This window comes from Homo sapiens, chromosome X (assembly GCF_000001405.40).
Source record: "Homo sapiens chromosome X, GRCh38.p14 Primary Assembly".
Classification (NCBI taxonomy): domain Eukaryota; kingdom Metazoa; phylum Chordata; class Mammalia; order Primates; family Hominidae; genus Homo; species Homo sapiens.
Window position 1 is genome coordinate 127,242,354 of NC_000023.11, and position 21,430 is coordinate 127,263,783.

The 21,430-nt window shown below is 38.3% G+C and overlaps 1 long non-coding RNA gene across 6 annotated transcripts in view; it reads right to left on the bottom strand.

Moving 5' to 3' along the window:
• Positions 1–4,772: 4,772 nt before the first annotated feature.
• LOC107985709 (uncharacterized) overlaps positions 4,773–21,430 on the bottom strand; it is a 56,466-nt gene continuing 39,808 nt past the window's right edge. For 3 of the 6 annotated variants that reach the window (XR_007068367.1, XR_001755952.1, XR_001755957.1), the window contains 2 exons: positions 6,189–6,267; positions 4,773–4,951 (listed from right to left, as the gene is read on the bottom strand). This is a non-coding gene — a long non-coding RNA (uncharacterized LOC107985709). Of the gene's footprint in view, positions 4,952–6,180; positions 6,268–14,066; positions 14,152–21,430 lie in introns of all 6 variants that reach the window. The other 3 variants (XR_001755954.1, XR_001755956.1, XR_001755955.1) reach the window with 3 other exon arrangements.

The following is a 21,430-nucleotide window of genomic DNA, read 5'->3' on the forward strand; positions in this document are numbered from 1 at the left end:
GCTGTGGGCTGTGGGCTCATGGAATTCACTGGTCTTACATTGTTCCTCACCATCATGAAGGGGCTGGTTTGATAGAATGGTAGAATACCTTTTGAATATGCATTTACAGAACCAGCTAGGCTGCAACATCTTGCAGGACTGGAGCAGGTTGTCCAGGAGGCTGTGTATGTTCTGAATCAGTATCTAATGTATGGCACCCCTTCTCTCATAGCCAGAATTCAGGGGTCCATGAATCAAAAAGGAAACCAAGGAGTAAAAATCAGGAAGCACCACACATTATTACACTCAGTGACCCACTAGGAAAGTTTTTGTTTCTTATTCCCATGACCTTATACTCTGTTGGCCCAGAGGTCTTAGCTCCAAAAGGAGGAATGATTTTACCAGGAGATACAGCAATAATTTCATTGAACTGGAAGTATAAATTGTCACCTGGACAACGTGGGCTCCTCATGCCTCTGATTCAAAAGGCAAAGGAGTTACTATACTAGCTAGGGTTATTGGGCCTGACAACCAAAGGGGAAATCGGACCACTATTCCATAACGTAGGTAAGAAACAGTATGTCTGTAATACAGGAGATCCTTGGGTTGTCTCTTAATTTTATCATGACCTGTGATTAAAGTAAATAAAAACTGCAACAACCCAATCCAGTCAGTACTACTAATGGCCCAGAGTCTTTGGAAATGGTTCAAATCATACCATCAGGTTAAGAACCATGACCAGCTGAAGTGCTTAAGAAAGGCAAAGAAAATACAGAATGTATAGTAGAAAAAGGTAATTATAAACATCAAACATGACTATATGGCCAGTTACAGAAAAAAGACTGTAATTATCCTATTTTCTCCTTGTTATGAATCTGTTCGTATGTGTTGGGTGCCAAATATTGTTTGATTTCTTCCCTCTCCTATTCCCTTATCATGTAACCCGAGATATACTGACTTTATATCATAGTATTAAAATATAGTACATATTACATCATAGTATTTAACTTATGGGATATCAAGTAGAAGAGTAAACATCACTCAAGAACTTTACCTTCTCTTCTGGGGAAGATGTTAGTGCATTTTTCTGTTGAATTATGTGTGGAGAAACTATCACTTTGTCATTGTTTTTATTTGGAAATTAAGTATAGCTTAAGGATATGCTTAGGGGTCTGTAGTCGACAAGGGGTGGTCAACTTGGGATAGTTAAGTTTATGTGTCAACCTGAATGGGCCCTGAGGTAGTCAGATATTTGGTCAAACATTATTCTGGGTCTTTGAGGGTGTTTCTGAATGAGATTAACATTTGAATTGGTAGACTTAGTGTTATGGGATCTTTGGGGTGTTGCTTTTCTGGCCAAAAATCTCTGTGGCCAGTGGTGCCTTTGCCTGAGTTTTGCTTAGGGTCCACTGGTGTCATTCCACCCACCTGACCTGGCAGGCTGCACTTGGCTCACGCTACCAGCTTGGATCTCATGCCTGCCAAGGGCAACTGAGGCATGGAGTAGGGAGGGATGTGAGAGCAAGTGTGGGTTCCAGTCACTGTGCAGTCAGACATGCTAGCTGCTGCCACTGGGTGGGCAGCTCCAGGTGCCGGCATGGGCACCAGGTCTCTGTGAGGCTGTGGCTAGATCAGGCACACTGCAAGCAGCTTCCATGTCTGGCACTGGGGAATGCACTGGCGCCCAAAGCTTGGAGATGCCAGGAACCACAGGGCCCCAAAGAGGGAGTCATAGCCCTGGCTCTGGGAGCTCCCATGTCTGGGGTCCCAGAAGGGCCGCAGCTCTTCTCTTTACCCGCAACACGGCAAGCATGTTGCATGTTCCAGCCCTGCTTATGTTACAGCTCTTTTAGCCCTGCCATTCTACAGGTCCTGAGTTCTTGTCCTGCAACAAGGAAGAATGAGGTACACAGACAAGTGGAGGGTGATCAAGATGAAGAGGAGCTCCACTGAGTGACAGAACAGCTCAGAAAAAACCTGCAGTCGGTAGCTCCTTTCTGCAGCTCATCATCCTGACATCACTGCAGCTCTCAGCAGAGAGGAGGCCCTGGAGTGGGTAGCTCCTCACTGTTGGAGCAGTCGCTGACAGGAAGGAGAAGCCAGGCAGTGGGAGTAGGCATTTCCAAGCTGTGAGGGCAGAGGGGGCCTTCCTTTGCCTCCAGAGCACAGAGATACCCAGGTCCTCAGCCGCAGCTTGGGCAGCTGCAGTGGCACCTGGGGAGCTCCCACCCCAACTTGGAAGGGGTGGTGCTCCCACTTGTCCCTGGCTCCCAGCAGCTCCATGGATTGTGCAGCCCTGGCTGTGCCTCCATGCTGCAGCCAATGTAATGGCAGTGGACACTCTAGATGGCCCCCCACTGCCATTATTAGTAAAGTATATTGCCTTTCTTAATGTGAGTGACCACATCCAAACAGTTGAAAGCCTGAATAGAACAAGAAACCTGGCCTTCTCTTGAGTAAGAGCAGATTTCTCTTGCCTTAATGCCTTTGAGATGAGACATCAATCTATTTCCTAATTTGGGACTTGAACTGAAACACTGGCTCTTCCTTGGTCTCAAGTCTACCAGCCTTCAGGCTGGAACTACACCATTTGCTATCCTGGTTTTCAGACTTTCTGACTTGAACTGTAAATATACCTTTGGCTTTCCTGTTTTTCAAGCTTACAGACTGCATCAGAGCATGGGACTTCTCAACCTTCATAATTATCTGAGCCACTTCCCCTCGTGTGTGTGTGTGTGTGTGTGTATGTGTGTGTGTGTGTGTGTGTGTGTGTGTGTGTAGGTATATGTATACCATTGATTCTATGTATCCTGTTGCTTTCAGATTGCAGACAGCAGATTGTGGGATTTCTCAGCCTCTATAAGTGAAATCCTCAAACTGAATCTCTGAGTATTGTTTCCATTTCTCTGGAGAACTCTCACTAATACAGATGGCTATGCTATGACTACCTATGGCAGAGGTAATATAGATAATTTCATGATTTCTAGCTAGATGGATACACCATTTTCAAGTCTTTTAGTGCCAGGAATTCCAAATTTTCAGTCTTTCAGTTACAGGAATTCAAAAATTGCCACCACATACACTGTTACCTGAAGTACAACTTGTATTATATAAAGAATTCATATTTTTCTTCTTTGTAAGAATAATATTCTGAAATATCTTTCAAAATATTCCTTAAAATATGATTTATCAATATACATTTCAATCACTGGTCATTCATTGCAATGCACTATAGAGAAGTATTTAAGAGAAAAGCCTTTGGAGTTATGCTTAATGATATCCTTTGGATTTGTGTCCTTGCCCAAATCTCATGTTGAATTGTGAGCCCCCATGTTGGAGGAGGGTCCTGCTGGGAGGTGACTGGATCATGGGGGTGGATTTCCCCCTTGCTATTCCCATGACAGCAAGTGAATTCTCATGAGATCTGGTTGTTTAAAGGTGTAGAGAACCTCCTACTGCTCTCTCTTCCTATTGCTTTTGCCATGTAGGATGTGCCTCCTTCCTCTTCACCTTCTGCCATGATTGTAAGTTTCCCGAGGCCTCCCAAACCATGCTCACTGTACAGCCAGTGGAACTGTGAGTCAATTAATCATCTTTTCTTTGTAAATCACCCAGTCTCAGGTAGTTCTTAATAGCAATGTGAGAATGGACTAATACACTTAATTAGTTTGAATTTATTTTTTCTACTTTTATCTGTGTGATCTTTGACAAGCTACCTTAGTGTTCTGTGTCACAGTTCTCACATGTGTAAAAATGGCATATAAAAATGAATATGACACATTGGGCACATTTCAAGTGCTCAGTAAATAATAGTCACCATAATTATTAATCTTTATCTTATTTCTCATTTCTTTGTCTTCATCAAAGGAGATCTGTATATATTTGTAGATTAAACTTTTCAAAAGAATTTAATGGCCTGCTGTCAATTCTAACATGACCAATTGCCTCTTATCTAAATCTGATCTCTAATGTAAGTCCAAAATAATCCACTAAAAAGAAGACATTTTTCTGCAAAGCTCAAGGATCACCAATTTCTACATTAAATTGTCAAATCTATGTTATCACTTTGTATCAGAAGTTATTCCTCTACATGTTCTGTTACTGAAATTAGAATAGAAAAGAACAAAAGAGAAATAAAATATTCAACCAAATGGTTCTCTCACTAACCCCCACCCCCATAATTCAATGCCAAAATCAAAAGAAACCAAAGCTTAAGTGATATTTCCATCAGACCTAACATTTTAAAAAGGAACAAGATGCAGAAACAAACACTTTGAATTAATTAGCTGTTGTACTATTAGATAAATAACTCTGAGCTAAGTGATTATAAGTCAAACTTTGTAACAAGTACATTTTGACAGCCTTTCGTTACTAGCTCTGGGTAATAGAACCTTTACTATAGTGAAAGGTAAACTAGGCCAGTTGCAGTTGCTCATGTTTGTCATCCCAGCACTTTGAGAGCCAAGGCATGAAGATTGCTTGAGGTGAAGGGTTCAAGGCCGGTATGAGCAATATAGGGAGACCCTGTCTCTAAAAAAGTAAAGTTAAAATTTAGTTGGGCATGGTGATGCTCACCTGCAGTTCCAGCTATTCATGAGGCTGAGTGGGGATGATTTCTGAAGCTCAGGAGTTTGAGGCTATGACTGTGCCACTGCATTCCAGCCTGGGTGATGGAGAGAGACACTATTTCAAAAAAAAACAGAAACAAAAACAAAAAAGATCAACAAATGCTTCCCCTACAAATTTCCATTTTTTGTAACCTTCATTCAATAATAATCAGAGAAATGTAGTTTAATTTTATTGAAACAACACCTTTTTATTTTTTATTACTGTTGTATGACATAGTGTTAAGCAAAAATATCCACCATAAATCCCCAAACCAGATTTTCAAACTTGCCTTCCTTTAAGTATGTATGTTCCAAGTCTTCATGCAATTTTATTCAGATTGAAAAGCAGTATTTATCTACAAACTCTAAAGAAAAAAAAAATATATTAATTAAATTTTATATGCACTAGATTTATTTATTCTTATTTTGGTATTGAAACCCTCTTAGAAGAAAGTCCTTGGGCTTGGAAAAAAATTTTAAAGTGGAGTTTTGCAGTTTGAAAATAGCTTTGAAGCATGTAGAAGTCCCAACAGAAGTCTTAGTGAGATTTCCATAGACGTACGTAAGTGTATTTTGCTGTAATTCAATGTCCCCTTAGGTCATTAATTTTTGTAAGTTTAAAATTAAAGGTAAAAGAAATAGTAGGATAATGAGGCCATGGACTTACATAGCAGGGTAGAAGATGGAACAAAAAACATGTACATAAATAAACATTTTGGACAGCCTTTATGATCTCATGAAAAAAAAAGAAGGAAAGGAGTATGAACTTGAAAAACTCTAATATGCATGTAAGTAAAAAAAAAAATCCTTCATACTGTATAATTGTAAAAAACATAGTATAGGTTTAGTGGAGTTATAACATCATTTGTAATTTAAGGTTGAGTAGCTGGCTCATATGTGTATGCATATAAACATGTATGCAGAGCATTGAGAGGTTATGTGACAAAAAGATGAGATTTGAGTTTGAAAGGCAAATTTAACTTTTAAATAGAAAAGAAAATATTCCAAAGTTTATATAATAAACATCAGACAATGAATTCACAGTAAAGTGTCTTGCAACAAATTTACCATCTTGGTTTACACCCAAATCTCAAATATCTATGTATCTTCTTTCTTAGCACCACATTTAGAATGAATAAGCTGAAGCTAGAGGCAGACACATTGGAAAAAATACGAAGAGTTGTCTGACAGCAAAATAAGTGGTATCAACACTATTTGAGTTGTCCATAATGTACTAATTCAAGACACTCAGCTATCATGAGCTATTTAGTTTAGGGGAAAATGGTTTTGCCCACTGTCACAGCTTCTGAGGTCATGATTTATATTACAAGCACAATCTTGGCTGTTTGCAATGAAGATTATATCATGCCTAGGAAATTGTGTTTTAAATGGTTAAAAAAAAGTCATACATTCACAAAAAGAAATATTTAAAAGTATTTAAATAAGTTCATTCAAGTTTTGGGGAAAATTCACTTAAGAAAAACAATGTCCTAGAGCTGTTGTACACTATACACACAGGTATTTGACAATTTGCCTCCTGCTCACCCACTCCGTCAATTGGTACAGAAAAGCCATCGTGATTTATTCAACTCACAAAATCACCTCTTTAGCCTCTCTTTTTCTTCAGGAAGTTGTGTCCTCTTCAGCAGTGTGTCAATAAAGCCAAGTGCTACCTGTGCCACTGCATTAGAAAGGAGAATTTAATTTGTAAAAACTCATTGATTTGCTCCTAGTCAATAGGGTAGACTGAGCTGACACAGCAGGACACACTCTCATCCTGCCCACCTCCCACTCAAAACACTTAGAAATGTTTGATAAAAGAAAACAAAATAATTTTGGGATATATAACTGAATTTGACATAAAGAAAGTGAAATATTGTGATGCCAGAGATGACAAAGGAAATAAATGAGAAAAGTAACAAAATCCAAAGCTAAATTTCAGATCTGAATCAGGTGTACACCATAATGCTTGCGGTCCTGAGGATCTGTCACTCTCTTGACAGATGATACTTAGGCTACCAGCCCCATTTCTACAAAGAGCTGGAGCTAGGCTTCAGGTGGCAAAATAGTTATCTTCCTTCCAGAAATCAAAACCCCACATGTGCTTGGTTGTGGGGTCTGATGTCACAGGACCCATAAGGCATGGGACTCAAACCAAAACATGCATTTACAAATTTGATTCTTGATTTCATGTGTTGCAAATATTTTATTCCACTCTGTGCCTTGAATTTTCCTTGGTGGTGTTTTTACATGAAAAGTTCTGATTTAATATAATCTAATTGTCATTTTTTTTCCATTATGGTGATAATAAAGAAAGAGAATCATGCCTGCTCCCAGTTCACGAAAGAGAATGTTGCTTATTCCCAGTTCATGAAAATATTTTTATATGCTACCTTATGTAATGTTTCATCTATTACATTTAGAATGACAATCCACCTGGAATTAATTTTTATGTGTGTTCAAAAGCAGGAGTCAATCTAGCATGTATATTGGAAAAAAACTTCTATAAGTTAATAAGAAAAGATAGGTAATAAAATAAAACGGACAAGATACTTCAACAGTCATTTCAGAAAAGGAAATATTCAAATGACCAATCAATCAGCATATGAAAATGTGATTGACATTACAACTCATCAGGAATATGAAAATTAAAATCACAACTACACATACATCAGACTCCATGTACATCAAAATGGCTAAAATTTAAAACAGGCAATAATACTCTAAAGTTGGGGTTGCTTCCTCTGTCATATACTGCTTGTGAGAGGAGGAAAAGTAAATTCTTAAAACCACTATATAAAATTGTCTGGTAATATTAACTAAAATTTAACATACACAGAACCAGGGACCCAAAATTCCATTCCAAACTAAATATCTAAAATTGTGTGTGTGTGTGTGTTCATGTGGGTAACAATCCAATTGTTCTTTAACTGAAAAATAAATTATGCCATATTCATACAGTAAAATACAACAGTGAAAATACATGAACTGCTATATGCAACCACATGGATAAATACTATAGCCATAATGCTGAACAGACAAGCTAGACATAAAATGCATACATAAGGATTTCATTTATATAAACTTATACAAAATTATAATATTATAACTCAGGGTATAACTCAGGGTTATTATAATATATAATATATAATTATATTATTATATAAAAATTATAATTTATTATAGAATTATAATATAATTTATATAATTTATATAATATAATTTATATATATTATAAAAATTATATAAAATATATAGTATATATATAATTATAATATTATAACTCAGGGTATTTTTTGTATTGTCTTATTTTGCTTTGTTTTGTTTAGAGAGGAGAGGGAAGGAAACTTGTTAGGTATCAGTAATGTCCGTTATTTTGACTTGATTAGTGGATACCTATATGTGATTATAGTATAATTCACTGAACTGTACACTTAATATTTTGCATTTTTTTCTGATTGTGTTTTGTATTTCAACAATAAAATTTATTTTTAAAAATTTGATTTTTTTTGTTTTTTTTTAAATTTTATTATTATTATACTTCTTTAAGTTTTAGGGTACATGTGCACAACGTGCACGTTTGTTACATATGTATACATGTGCCATGTTGGTGTGCTGCACCCATTAACTTGTCATTTAGCATTAGGTATATCCCCTAATGTTATCCCTCCCCCCTCCCCCCACCCCACAACAGTCCCCGGTGTGTGATGTTCCCCTTCTTGTGTCCATGTGTTCTCACTGTTCAATTCCCACCTATGAGTGAGAACATGCAGTGTTTGGTTTTTTGTCCTTGCGATAGTTCGCTGACAATGATGGTTTCCAGTTTCATCCATGTCCCAACAAAGGACATGAACTCATCATTTTTTATGGCTGCATAGTATTCCATGGTGTACATGTGCCACATTTTCTTAATCCAGTCTATCGTTGTTAGACATTTAGGTTGGTTCCAAGTCTTTGCTATTGTGAATAGTGCCGCTATAAACATACGTGTGCATGTGTCTTTATAGCAGCATGATTGATAATCTTTGGGTATGTACCCAGTAATGGGATGGCTCAGTCAAATGGTATTTCTAGTTCTAGATCCCTGAGGAATCACCACACTGACTTCCACAATGGTTGAACTAGTTTACAGTCCCACCAACAGTGTGAAAGTGTTCCTATTTCTCCACATCCTCTCCAGCACCTGTTGTTTCCTGACTTTTTAATGATTGCCATTCTAACTGGTGTGAGATGGTATGTCATTGTGGTTTTGATTTGCATTTCTCTGATGGCCAGTGATGATGAGCATTTTTTCATGTGTTTGTTGGCTGCATAAATGTTCTCTTTTGAGAAGTGTCTGTTAATATCCTTCGCTCACTTGTTGATAGGGCTGTTTGTTTTTTTCTTGTAAATTTGTTTCAGTTCATTGTAGAGTCTGGATATTAGCCCTTTGTCAGATGAGTAGGTTGCAAAAATTTTCTCCCATTTTGTAGGTTGCCTGTTCACTCTGATGGTAGTTTCTTTTGCTGTGCAGAAGCTCTTGAGTTTCATTAGATCCCATTTGTCAATTTTGGCTTTTGTTGCCATTGCTTTTGATGTCTTAGACATGAAGTCCTTGTCCATGCCTATGTCCTGAATGGTATTGCCTAGGTATTCTTCTAGGTTTTTGATGGTTTTAGTTCTAACATTTAAGTCTTTAATCCATCTTGAGTTAATTTTTGTATAAGGTGTAAGGAAGGGATCCAGTTTCAGCTTTCTACGTATGGCTAGCCAGTTTTCCCAGCACCATTTATTAAATAGGAAATCCTTTCCCCATTGCTTGTTTTTCTCAGGTTTGTCAAAGATCAGATAGTTGTAGATATGCGGCATTATTTCTGAGGGCTCTGTTCTGTTCCATTGGTCTGTATCTCTGTTTTGGTACCAGTACCATGCTGTTTTGGTGACTGTAGCATCATAGTATAGTTTGAAGTCAGGTAGCATGATGCCTCCAGCTTTGTTCTTTTGGCTTAGGATTGACTTGGTGATGCGGGCTCTTTTTTGGTTCCCTATGAACTTTAAAGTAGTTTTTTTTCCAATTCTGTGAAGAAACTCATTGGTAGCTTGATGGGGATGGCATTGAATCTGTAAATTACCTTGGGCACTGTGGCCATTTTCACGATATTGATTCTTCCTACCCATGAGCATGGAATGTTCTTCCATTTGTTTGTATCCTCTTTTATTTCATTGAACAGTGAAATTGTAGTTCTCCTTGAAGAGGTCCTTCACGTCCCTTGTAAGGTGGATTCCTAGGTATTTTATTCTCTTTGAAGCAGTTGTGAATGGGAGTTCACTCATGATTTGGCTCTCTGTCTGTTGTTGGTGTATAAGAATGCTTGTGATTTTTGGACATTGATTTTGTATCCTGAGACTTTGCTGAAGTTGCTTATCAGCTTGAGGAGATTTTGGGCTGAGATGATGGGGTTTTCTAGATATACAATCATGTCATCTGCAAACAGGGACAATTTGACTTCCTCTTTTCCTAATCGAATACTCTTTATTTCCTTCTCCTGCCTGATTGCCCTGGCCAGAACTTCCAATACTATGTTGAATAGGAGTGGTGAGAGAGGGCATCCCTGTCTTGTGCCAGTTTTCAAAGGGAATGCTTCCAGTATTTGCTCATTCAGTATGATATTGGCTGTGGGTTTGTCATAGATAGCCCTTATTATTTTGAGATACGTCCGATCAATAACTAATTTATTGAGGGTTTTTAGCATGAAGGGTTGTTGAATTTTGTCAAAGGCCTTTTCTATATCTATTGAGATAATCATGTGATTTTTGTCTTTGGTTCTGTTTATATGTTGGACTACATTGATTGATTTTGGTATGTTGAACCAGCCTTGCATCCCAGGGATGAAGCCCACTTGATCATGGTGGATAAGCTTTTTGATGTGCTGCTGGAATCGGTTTGCCACTATTTTATTGAGGATATTTGCATCAATGTTCATCAAGGATATTGGTCTAAAATTCTCTATTTTGGTTGTGTCTCTGCCAGGCTGTGGTATCAGGATGATCCTGGCCTCATAAAATGAGTTAGGGAGGATTCCTTCTTTTTCTATTGATTGGAATAGTTTCAGATGGAATGGTACCAGCTCCTCTTTGTACCTCCGGTAGAATTTGGCTGTGAATCCATCTGGTCCTGGACTTTTTTTGGTTGGTAAGCTATTGATTATTGCCTCAATTTCAGAGCCTGTTATTGGTCTATTCAGAGAGTCAACTTCTTCCTGGTTTAGTCTTGGGAGGATGTATGTGTCAAGGAATTTATCCATTTCTTCTAGATTTTCTAGTTTATTTGCGTAGAGGTGTTTTTAGTATTCTCTGATGGTAGTTTGTATTTCTGTGGGATCGGTGGCGATATCCCCTTTATCATTTTGTATTGTGTCTATTTGATTCTTCTCTCTTTTCTTCTTTATTAGTCTTGCTAGTGGTCTATCAATTTTGTTGATCTTTTAAAAAAACCAGCTCCTGGATTCATTAATTTTTTGAAGGGTTTTTTGTGTCTCTATTTCCTTCAGTTCTGCTCTGATCTTAGTTATTTATATCTTGTGTTCTGCTAGCTTTTGAATGTATTTGCTCTTTCTTTTCTAGTTCTTTTAATTGTGATATTAGGGTGTCAATTTTAGATCTTTCCTGCTTTCTCTTGTGGGCATTTAGTGCTACAAATTTCCCTCTACACACTGCTTTGAATGTGTCCCAGAGATTCTGGTATATTGTGTCTTTGTTCTCATTGGTTTCAAAGAACATCTTTATTTCTGCCTTCATTTCATTATTTACCCAGTAGTCATTCAGGAGCAGGTTGTTCAGTTTCCATGTAGTTGAGCGGTTTTGAGTGAGTTTCTTAATCCTGAGTTCTAGTTTGATTTCACTGTGGTCTGAGAGACTGTTTGTTATAATTTCTATTCTTTTACATTTGCTGAGGAGTGCTTTACTTCCAACTATGTGGTCAATTTTGGAGTAGGTGTGGTGCTGAAAAGAGTGTATAATCTGTTGATTTGGGGTGGAGAGTTCTGTAGATGTCTATTAGGTCTGCTTGGTGCAGAGCTGAGTTCAATTCCTGGGTATCCTTGTTAACGTTCTGTCTCGTTGATCTGTCTAATGTTGACAGTGGGGTGTTAAAGTCTCCCATTATTATTGTGTGGGAGTCTAAGTCTCTTTGTAGGTCACTCAGGACTTGCTTTATGAATCTGGGTGCTCCTATATTGGGTGCGTATATATTTAGGATAGTTAGCTCTTCTTGTTGAATTGATCCCTTTACCATTATGTAATGGCCTTCTTTGTCTCTTTTGATCTTTGTTGGTTTAAAGTCTGTTTTATCAGAGACTAGGATTGCAACCCCTGCCTTTTTTTGTTTTCCATTTGCTTCGTAGATCTTCCTCCATCCTTTTATTTTCAGCCTATGTGTGTCTCTGCACGTGAGATGGGTTTCCTGAATACAGCACACTGATGGGTCTTGACTCTTTATCCAATTTGCCAGCCTGTGTCTTTTAATTGGAGCATTTAGTCCATTTACATTTAAAGTTAATATTGTTATGTGTGAATGTGATCCTGTCATTATGATGTTAGCTGGTTATTTTGCTCGTTAGTTGATGCAGTTTCTTCCTAGTCTCAATGGTCTTTACATTTTGGCATGATTTTGCAGCGGCTGGTACCGGTTGTTCCTTTCCATGTTTAGCGCTTCCTTCAGGAGCTCTTTTAGGGCAGGCCTGGTGGTGAGAAAATCTCTCAGCATTTGCTTGTCTGTAAAGGATTTTATTTCTCCTTCGCTTATGAAGCTTAGTTTGGCTGGATATGAAATTCTGGGTTTAAAATTCTTTTCTTTAAGAATGTTGAATATTGGCCCCCACTCTCTTCTGGCTTGTAGGGTTTCTGCCGAGAGATCCGCTGTTAGTCTGATGGGCTTCCCTTTGAGGGTAACCCGACCTTTCTCTCTGGCTGCCCTTAACATTTTTTCCTTCATTTCAACTTTGGTGAATCTGACAATTATGTGTCTTGGAGTTGCTCTTCTCGAGGAGTATCTTTGTGGCGTTCTCTGTATTTCCTGAATCTGAACGTTGGCCTGCCTTGCTAGATTGGGGAAGTTCTCCTGGATAATATCCTGCAGAGTGTTTTCCAACTTGGTTCCATTCTCCCCATCACTTTCAGGTACACCAATCAGACGTAGATTTGGTCTTCTCACATAGTCCCATATTTCTTGGAGGCTTTGCTCATTTCTTTTTATTCTTTTTTCTCTAAACTTCCCTTCTCACTTCATTTCATTCATTTCATCTTCCATTGCTGATACCCTTTCTTCCAGTTGATCGCATTGGCTCCTGAGGCTTCTGCATTCTTCACATAGTTCTCGAGCCTTGGTTTTCAGCTCCATCAGCTCCTTTAAGCACTTCTCTGTATTGGTTATTCTAGTTAAACATTCTTCTAAATTTTTTTGAAAGTTTTCAACTTCTTTGCCTTTGGTTTGAATGTCCTCCCGTAGCTCAGAGTAATTTGATCGTCTGAAGCCTTCTTCTCTCAGCTCGTCAAAGTCATTCTCCATCCAGCTTTGTTCCGTTGCTGGTGAGGAACTGCATTCCTTTGGAGGAGGAGAGGCACTCTGCTTTTTAGAGTTTCCAGTTTTTCTGTTCTGTGTTTTCCCCATCTTTGTGGTTTTATCTACTTTTGGTCTTTGATGATGGTGATGTACAGATGGGTTTTTGGTGTGCATGTCCTTTCTGTTTGTTAGTTTTCCTTCTAACAGACAGGACCCTCAGCTGCAGGTCTGTTGGAATACCCTGCCATGTGAGGTGTCAGTGTGCCCCTGCTGGGGGGTGCCTCCCACTTAGGCTGCTCGGGGGTCAGGGGTCAGGGACCCACTTGAGGAGGCAGTCTGCCTGTTCTCAGATCTCCAGCTGCGTGCTGGGAGAACCACTGCTCTCTTCAAAGCTGTCAGACAGGGACATTTAAGTCTGCAGAGGTTACTGCTGTCTTTTTGTTTGTCTGTGCCCTGCCCCCAGAGGTGGAGCCTACAGAGGCAGGCAGGCCTCCTTGAGCTGTGGTGGGCTCCACCCAGTTCGAGCTTCCCGGCTGCTTTGTTTACCTAAGCAAGCCTGGGCAATGGCAGTCGCCCCTCCCCCAGCCTCGCGGCCGCCTTGCAGTTTGATCTCAGACTGCTGTGCTAGCAATCAGCGAGACTCCGTGGGCGTAGGACCCTCCAAGCCAGGTGCGGGATATAATCTCGTGATGCGCCGTTTTTTAAGCCCGTCGGAAAAGTGCAGTAATCGGGTGGGAGTGACCCGATTTTCCAGGTGCCGTCTGTCACCCCTTTCTTTGACAAGGAAAGGGAACTCCCTGACCCCTTGCGCTTCCCAAGTGAGGCAATGCCTCGCCCTGCTTCGGCTCGCGCATTGTGCGCGCACCCACTGACTTGCGCCCACTGTCTGGCACTCCCTAGTGAGATGAACCCGGTACCTCAGATGGAAATGCAGAAATCACCTGTCTTCTGCGTCGCTCACGCTGGTTGCTGTAGACGGAGCTGTTCCTATTCGGCCCTCTTGGCTCCTCCCTCGGTTTTGGCAGTCTTAAATGGTAATACAGGAAGCTCATTTAGGATCCAGTTGAATAATCCTCAAACTGCCCCACTCTTCTTTCTTATTAAGAATTTAAGGCTGCCTAGTGCAGTACTCTTCTTCTTTTCAGTACACAAATATATATTAAAGAAAGTGACAATTATCCTTCATGATGTGAAGGGCTACAAATTTTCCCATAATAATTTCTAGCTTTCCTGAATAACCACCATCCCAGAATTTATCTAAATCTAAATAAAATGAATTGATCTTTCTAACTATACCTACCACTAAGGGTAATGAGCACTATACATTTTCTAGTATATGTTAAGAAATAAGTACTCCATTTGAGTTGTTTCCAGTGCAGATTTTTAAGCATCAATAAACTTGTTTCAGTTACATTAATAACTGATAAACACTTCTTTTCCATCCACTTAGTTTCCGAACACTGCTTTAGGCACTCTGTATTTGATATTTTTAATTCTCACAATGATGATTATAATACTGTGGAAGGATTCATTGAATAAATATAAGTGTTTTACATGAATCTTATACTCTTATCAATATTCTGAAATGTTTATTATTGCAATTCCCACTAAAATTACTGTTATGGGGGAACTGAGTCTCAGAGGAATTAAAACTTGTTAAACAACAAACAGCTACTACCTAGAAAAGTGGAGAATAGAGCCCATATCTGAACCCTAAGGGTGGGCTTTTTTCACTACTTTACAATCATGTGATACACTAAAAATGAAGCAATGGATGAGAAGACCAATATCTTGGTTTGTGTCCTAATATTCCACTTAAGACATGCATAAACTTGGGCTTATTATTTAACTTCTTTCAGATTCAGCTGTTTCTTTTAAAAAATGGAGCAGGATGTTGAATCAAATGTGATTCTGAATGCAAAATGTAGAACTGTAAATTATTATATAATGACAAATGAAATTAATAATGCTGAATATAGACACTATGCCTAACACAATGTCTGATATATATTAGGTGTTTAATATGTGTTGGGAGAAAGGAAAAATGGGAGTAAAGGGGAAAGTGAGAAAAGGCAGATGAAATGTTAAGTAACATGGGCTTAGATATGAGGTAGAATTGGATTCAAATGTGGCAGTCACTTATTAGCTCTGAGACCTTGAGAAGATTACTTACCTAATCAGTATATTGTTTTCTCATGTACCAGGCAGCATAATGCCTTATGATGATTAGAAAGAATGTATGCAAAGAACCTAGCATAGTATTTGACATGCATTAATAGCTCATTGAAAAATGATGATGGACTAATTTGTTGGACATGGCCTATTCACATAAAAAGTGTCCTACTATTCCAACCTCTGTAGTGGTAGTAGTTGGTTTAAGAATATGACATGAGTTAACATTGCTAATCTTATTATTATCATTCATTAACTCACCATTCATTAAGGCTCTACCCTGTGTAAACCCTGTACTAGGTATTGGTAATTATAAAACAGCAAAACAAGGTTCTTGAGGCTAAATGCTTACAGATTACTACTAATATCTCTGAAAAAAACAGAATCTGGAAATGAGCCTTCCAGAATATCAAATTCATGTGTCAAACATATAATCTTAATTAGGAGGTTAAGCTAAGATCTCGTGGGGAGAATGTCCTCTCTTTTACTTTCTCTTTCTCTGTCTCTCTGTCTCTCTCTCTTACTCTCTCCCAGTCTCTTGCTGCTGCCTCTAAGACCTAAAGGTAAATCCACCTTTCTTCAGTGCAGTCCCTGTCATTTTCTCCTTGATGTTGATCTTTCAGAGTGGGATTGGAAAGGAAAGGAAAGGACAAACAAAAAGAAAATTCTCATGCCTTGGATGAATTTTCAATTGTGACTTGGGAGATCTTACAGACCTGTAGGATGGCATTTCACTTGGCTGGAAACCAAATTCTAAAATTCTAAGGCTTAAGTAGAACAAGTTTCAGCAATGTGATTATACAGATAATTTACTTTGTGACCTCGCTGAAGTCCATTAATGCTATGTTTTTCCCTTTTTATATTACGGAGACCGTGCTAAGTGCATTGCTTTTGTAAAATCACATTTGATTTTCACAATAACCCCATAAAATAGATTCTATTACAGTTTGTTTTTACTACATATAAATAAAATAGAGGCTTAAAGTCATATCAGGAAATATGTCAGTATAACAGAAAGGATTAAAATAAGAATACCAAGATCTAAGCTCAAGTCCTAACTCCTACTTATGACTTGAACTTGGATAAAATTATAATTTCACTTTAACTTGCTCATTTATGAAATGAGGGTGCTGAGCTATAATGTATCTATTTTTACTTCCAGTCCCAAAATTATAATTATTTACTCTATTTTCACTGGAATCTGAGTAAAAATAATTTACACGGTATTTTTGGTAAACTAACTCCTTACTTACTCTAGTATATAAAAACTATTTTTCCAAAATTTTAGTGAGATTCTCCATTTAGAAATAATTATAGACACAGTCTTTTTGAAGAGTTATGAACAATGCAACTCAGATATTATTTATATTTAATAGACTAAGGTTATATTTACCATTTATAATCCATGCACCAGTATGACCTTCAAACAGCCCAAGACTTAAATGCACCCATTGCCATAGAGCAATTTTTTCAATCTTTTTTTCCAATAGAAACAGGACTACTCAGAACCACTCACAACTCACAATGACATACTCTTCCCAGGCAATTATTTAATGATTATTTAATAATAACAAAAAAAGACATTACTTTTCAAGCAATATCAGTGACTGCTATATTTAAACAAATTTTGCCCATGTAATAGAAATATAGTTATTACTATATAAAAATACGAGTATTTCATGAGACCAGTCAGCTAGATCAATGCTTTTCAAATTTTAATGTGTATAGGAATCACTTCGAGATCTTGTTAAAAAGCAGGTTTGCATTCATTAGGTACCTCTGAGGTGATACCTGATATTCTCTATTTAAAATGAGTTTCCAGAGGTGGAACAAGGTGATGGAACAGAAGCCTCCGCCAATCATGTCTCTGCAATGACACCAATTTAACATGTATCTACACAGAAAAAAAAATACCTTCATGAAAATAAAAAATCAGATGGTCACCTATAGTACCTGGTTTTAACTTTCTATCACTTAAAGCAATACTGAAGAGATAGAAAAAAAAATCTCCAATATTGAATGCTACCCCTTTCCCACACCCCAGTCAGGGTGGCCTGGTGCTGAGAGTGTCTAAGGGTACTGGGGGAGGGAGAGCACAGCAAATGTGAGGCAGGCACTGAACTCAGTGCTATCCTGTTAGAGCAGAAAGGAAAACCAGACCAAACTCAGCTGATGCCAGCTCATGGAAGGAGCATTTAATCCAGCCCTAGCCAGAGGGGAATTGCTAATACCAGCAGTCAGAACTTGAGTTCCCACAAACATCGCCACCAAGGGCTGGAGTGCTATGGGTTTCTATATAAACTTGAAAGGCAGTATACATCATAAGGACTGCAACTTGTAGGTAAGCCCTAGTGCTGAAGGAGGCCCGGAGACAGTGGACTGGAGGTGGGGCACACAACACACTAAAATACCAGCCGAGAAAGCTAAGGGAGTGCTGGCATTACCCCTTCCCTAACCCCAATCTGCAAAGCTCACAGCTCTAAAAGAGATCCCTTCTTGTAGCTTGAAGAAAGGAGATGTAAGAGTGGGGAGGATTTTGTCTTGCATCTTGGATACCACCTCAGTCACTGCAGAATAGGGCACTGGCCAGAGTTGTGAAGCCTCTGTTCTAGGCCTTAACTCCCAGACAACATTTCTAGACACAACTTGGGCTAGAAGGAAACCCACTGTCTTGAAGGAAAGGACCCAGTCCTGGCAGGATTTATTAGCTGCTAATTCAAGAGCCCTTGGGGCCTGAATAGTCAGCAGAAATTCCCAGATACTATGTCCAGGGCCTTGGGTGAACCTCTGAGACTTTCTGGCTTTACATACTAGCACAGCCACAGGGAAGGTAGACCACTAAGCAGGCTTATGGGATTCCCAATTCTAGGACTTGATTCTTGAACAGCATTTCTGGACCTGCCCTGGTGAGAGGGGGCTCACCACCCTGAAAGGGTGAGTCCTAGGCCAGGCAGCATTCACAAGCTGACGTAAGGGCCCTTGGGTTTTAAAAGGACATTTGTGGTATTATGACAGTGCACTTAATGGCCTTGGGTGATGATAGCTACTGGGTAAGGCTCTTCTGCTTTTGGGAAGGAGAGGGAAGAGTAGGAAAGTCTGCATCTTGTGGTTTGAGTGCCAGCTCAGCTACAGTACAATAGAGCACCAGGTAGACTTGTAAGGTTTTTGACTTTAGTCCCTGACACACGGACGACACTTCTGGATCCACCTGGGGCCTAAGGAACCTTCCTGCCCTGAAGTGGAGGACACAGGTCTGGCTGGCTTAGCCACCAGCTTATTGTAGAGCACCCAGGCCTTGAGTGAACATAGGCAGTAGCATGGGAATAGTTAAAGCCAGCCTTGGGTAAAACCCAGTGTTGTGCTGGCATTGGATCTCACCACAGCACAGTAATAGTGGTGGTGGCCACAGGGGTACTTGTGTCACTCCATTCCAAGCCTCACCTGGCTCAGAACAGAGGGAGAGACAGACTTTTTTTCTTTGGGAGAAAGTAAGGTAAGGGAACAAAAGTCTCTGCTTGATAATTCAGAGAACTCTCCCAGATCTTGTCCACGACCATCAAGGTGGTACTTCTATGAGTCTGAAAGAACCATAGTGTTACTGGGCTTGAGGTGGCCCCTAAAGCAGATACAGCTGAGATAATAACACCCAAGTTCTTTCAAATAGCTGGAAAGCTTTCCCAAGAAAGATGGCTACAAATAAGCCCAGACAGTGAAGACTACAATAAAAATCTCACACTTCAATGCCTAGAAATCAAATAACGTCTATCTGCATCAACACCATCCAGGAAAGCATGACTTCACCAAATGAACTAAATAAGAAACTAGGGATCAATCCCGGAGAAACAGAGATATGCGACTTTTCAGACAGATAATTCTATAGCAGAGAAATAATTCAGAATTATATCAGATACAGTCAACAAAAAATATTTAAATAATTAAAAAGAAGCAGAAATTCTGGAGCTGAAAAATACAATTGGCATACTGAAGAATGTATCAGAGTTCCTTAATAACAGAATAAATCAAGCAGAAGAAAGAATTTGTGAGCTTGAAGACAGGTGATTTGAAAGTACAATAGTGAGAGGAGACACAACAGAAAAAAAAGAATAAAAGCAATGAAACATGCCTACAGGATATAGAAAATAACTTCAAAAGTGAAAATGTTAGAGTCTTTGGTCTTAAAGATGAGGTAGAGAAAGATAAAGGGATAGGAAGTTTATTCAAAAAGATAATAACAGCGAAGTTCTTAAACCTAGAAAAAAAATCAATATCCAAGTACAAGAAGGTTATAGAACACCAAGGAGATTTAACCCAAAGAAGACTATCTCAAGGTATTTAGTAATGAAACTCCCAAAGGTGAAGGATAAAGAAAGGATGCTATAAGCAACAAGAGAAAAGAAACAAATAACAAACAATGGAGCTTCAATACATCTGGCAGCAGACTTTTCAGTGGAAACCTTACAGGCTAGGACAGAGTGGTATGATATATTTAAAGTGCTGAAGGAAAAAATACCTTAGAATGGTAATCTGGTAAAAATATCTTTCCAACATAAAGAAGAAACACAGACTTTCCCAGAAAAGCAAAAGTTGAGGGATTTCATCAACACCAGACCTGTCCTACAAGAAATGCTAAAGGAAGTACTTCAATCAAAAAGAAAAAGACATTAATGAGCAATAATTAATCACATGAAGGTGCAAAACTCACTGGCAATTGTAAGTACACAAAAAATAGATATAACACTGGAACTGCAATGTGTAAACTACGCTTATCCTAATTAGAAAGACTAAACAATAAGCCAATTCACAAATAATAACTACAACAAGGTTTCAAGACACAGGCAGTACATATGAAGTAAATAGAAACAACCAAATGTTTAAAAGTGGGGGGACAAATTTAAGGCATGAAATTTTTATTAGTTTTCTTTTGCTTGTGTGTTTGTTTATGCAAACAGTGCACAAAACAACCAGGAAACAACTAACAAGATGGCAGGAATAAGTCCTTCATTGTTAATAATAAAATCGACTGTGAATAGACTAAACTCTCCAGTCAAAAGACACAGACTGAATGGATGAAAAACAAGACTCATTGATCTGTTGCCTACAAGAAACATGCTTCACCTATAAAAACACACATAGACTGAAAATAATGGAATGGAAAAAAATATTCTATACCAATGGCAACCAAAAAGAGCAGAATTCACTATACTTAGACAAAATATATTTCAAGATGACAACTGTAAGTAGAGACAAAATAGGTCACTGTATAATGATTAAGGCATCAATTTGGCAAGAAGATATAACAATTTTAAACATATAAGCACCCAACATTGGAGTGTCCAATATATAAATCAAATATTATTAGAGCTAAACAGAGAGATAGATCAAACACAATAACAGGTGAGGATTTCAACACCTTATTTTCAGCATCTGACAGATCTTCCAGGCAGAAAATCAACAAAGAAACATTGGACTTAATCTGCACTATAGACCAAATAGATCTAATAGATATTTACAGGACATTTTATCCAGTGGCTGTAGAATACACATTCTTTTCCTCAGCACATCAATTATTCTCAAGGATAGACCATATGTTAGGCCATAAAACAAGTCTTATAACATTCAAAAAACTATCAAGAACCTTCTCTGACCACAATGGAATAAAACTAGAAATAAATAACAAGAAGAATATTTGAAATGTTATAAATAAATGAAAAACAATGGGCTTCTAAATGACCAGTGGTCAATGAAGAAATTAAAAAGAAATTGAAACATTTCTTGAAACAAATGATAATGAGATAGTGGAAGCACAGTATACCAAAACCTATGGGATACAACAAAAGTAGTATTATTAGGGAAATTTATAGCTATAAATGGCTACATCAAAAAATAGAAACAAACTTTAACAATCTAATGAATGGTCCATCATAAAAAACTAGAAAAACAGGAACAAACCAAACCCAACATTACTAGAAGAAAAAAATAATAGAGAGCAGATAAAAAAATTGAAATTGAAATAATGAAAAAAATACAATAGAATAATTAAACAAAAATTTGCCAAAAGACACATGAAAAAATGCTCATCATCACTGGCCAACAGAGAAATGCATATCAAAACCACAATGAGATACCATCTCAC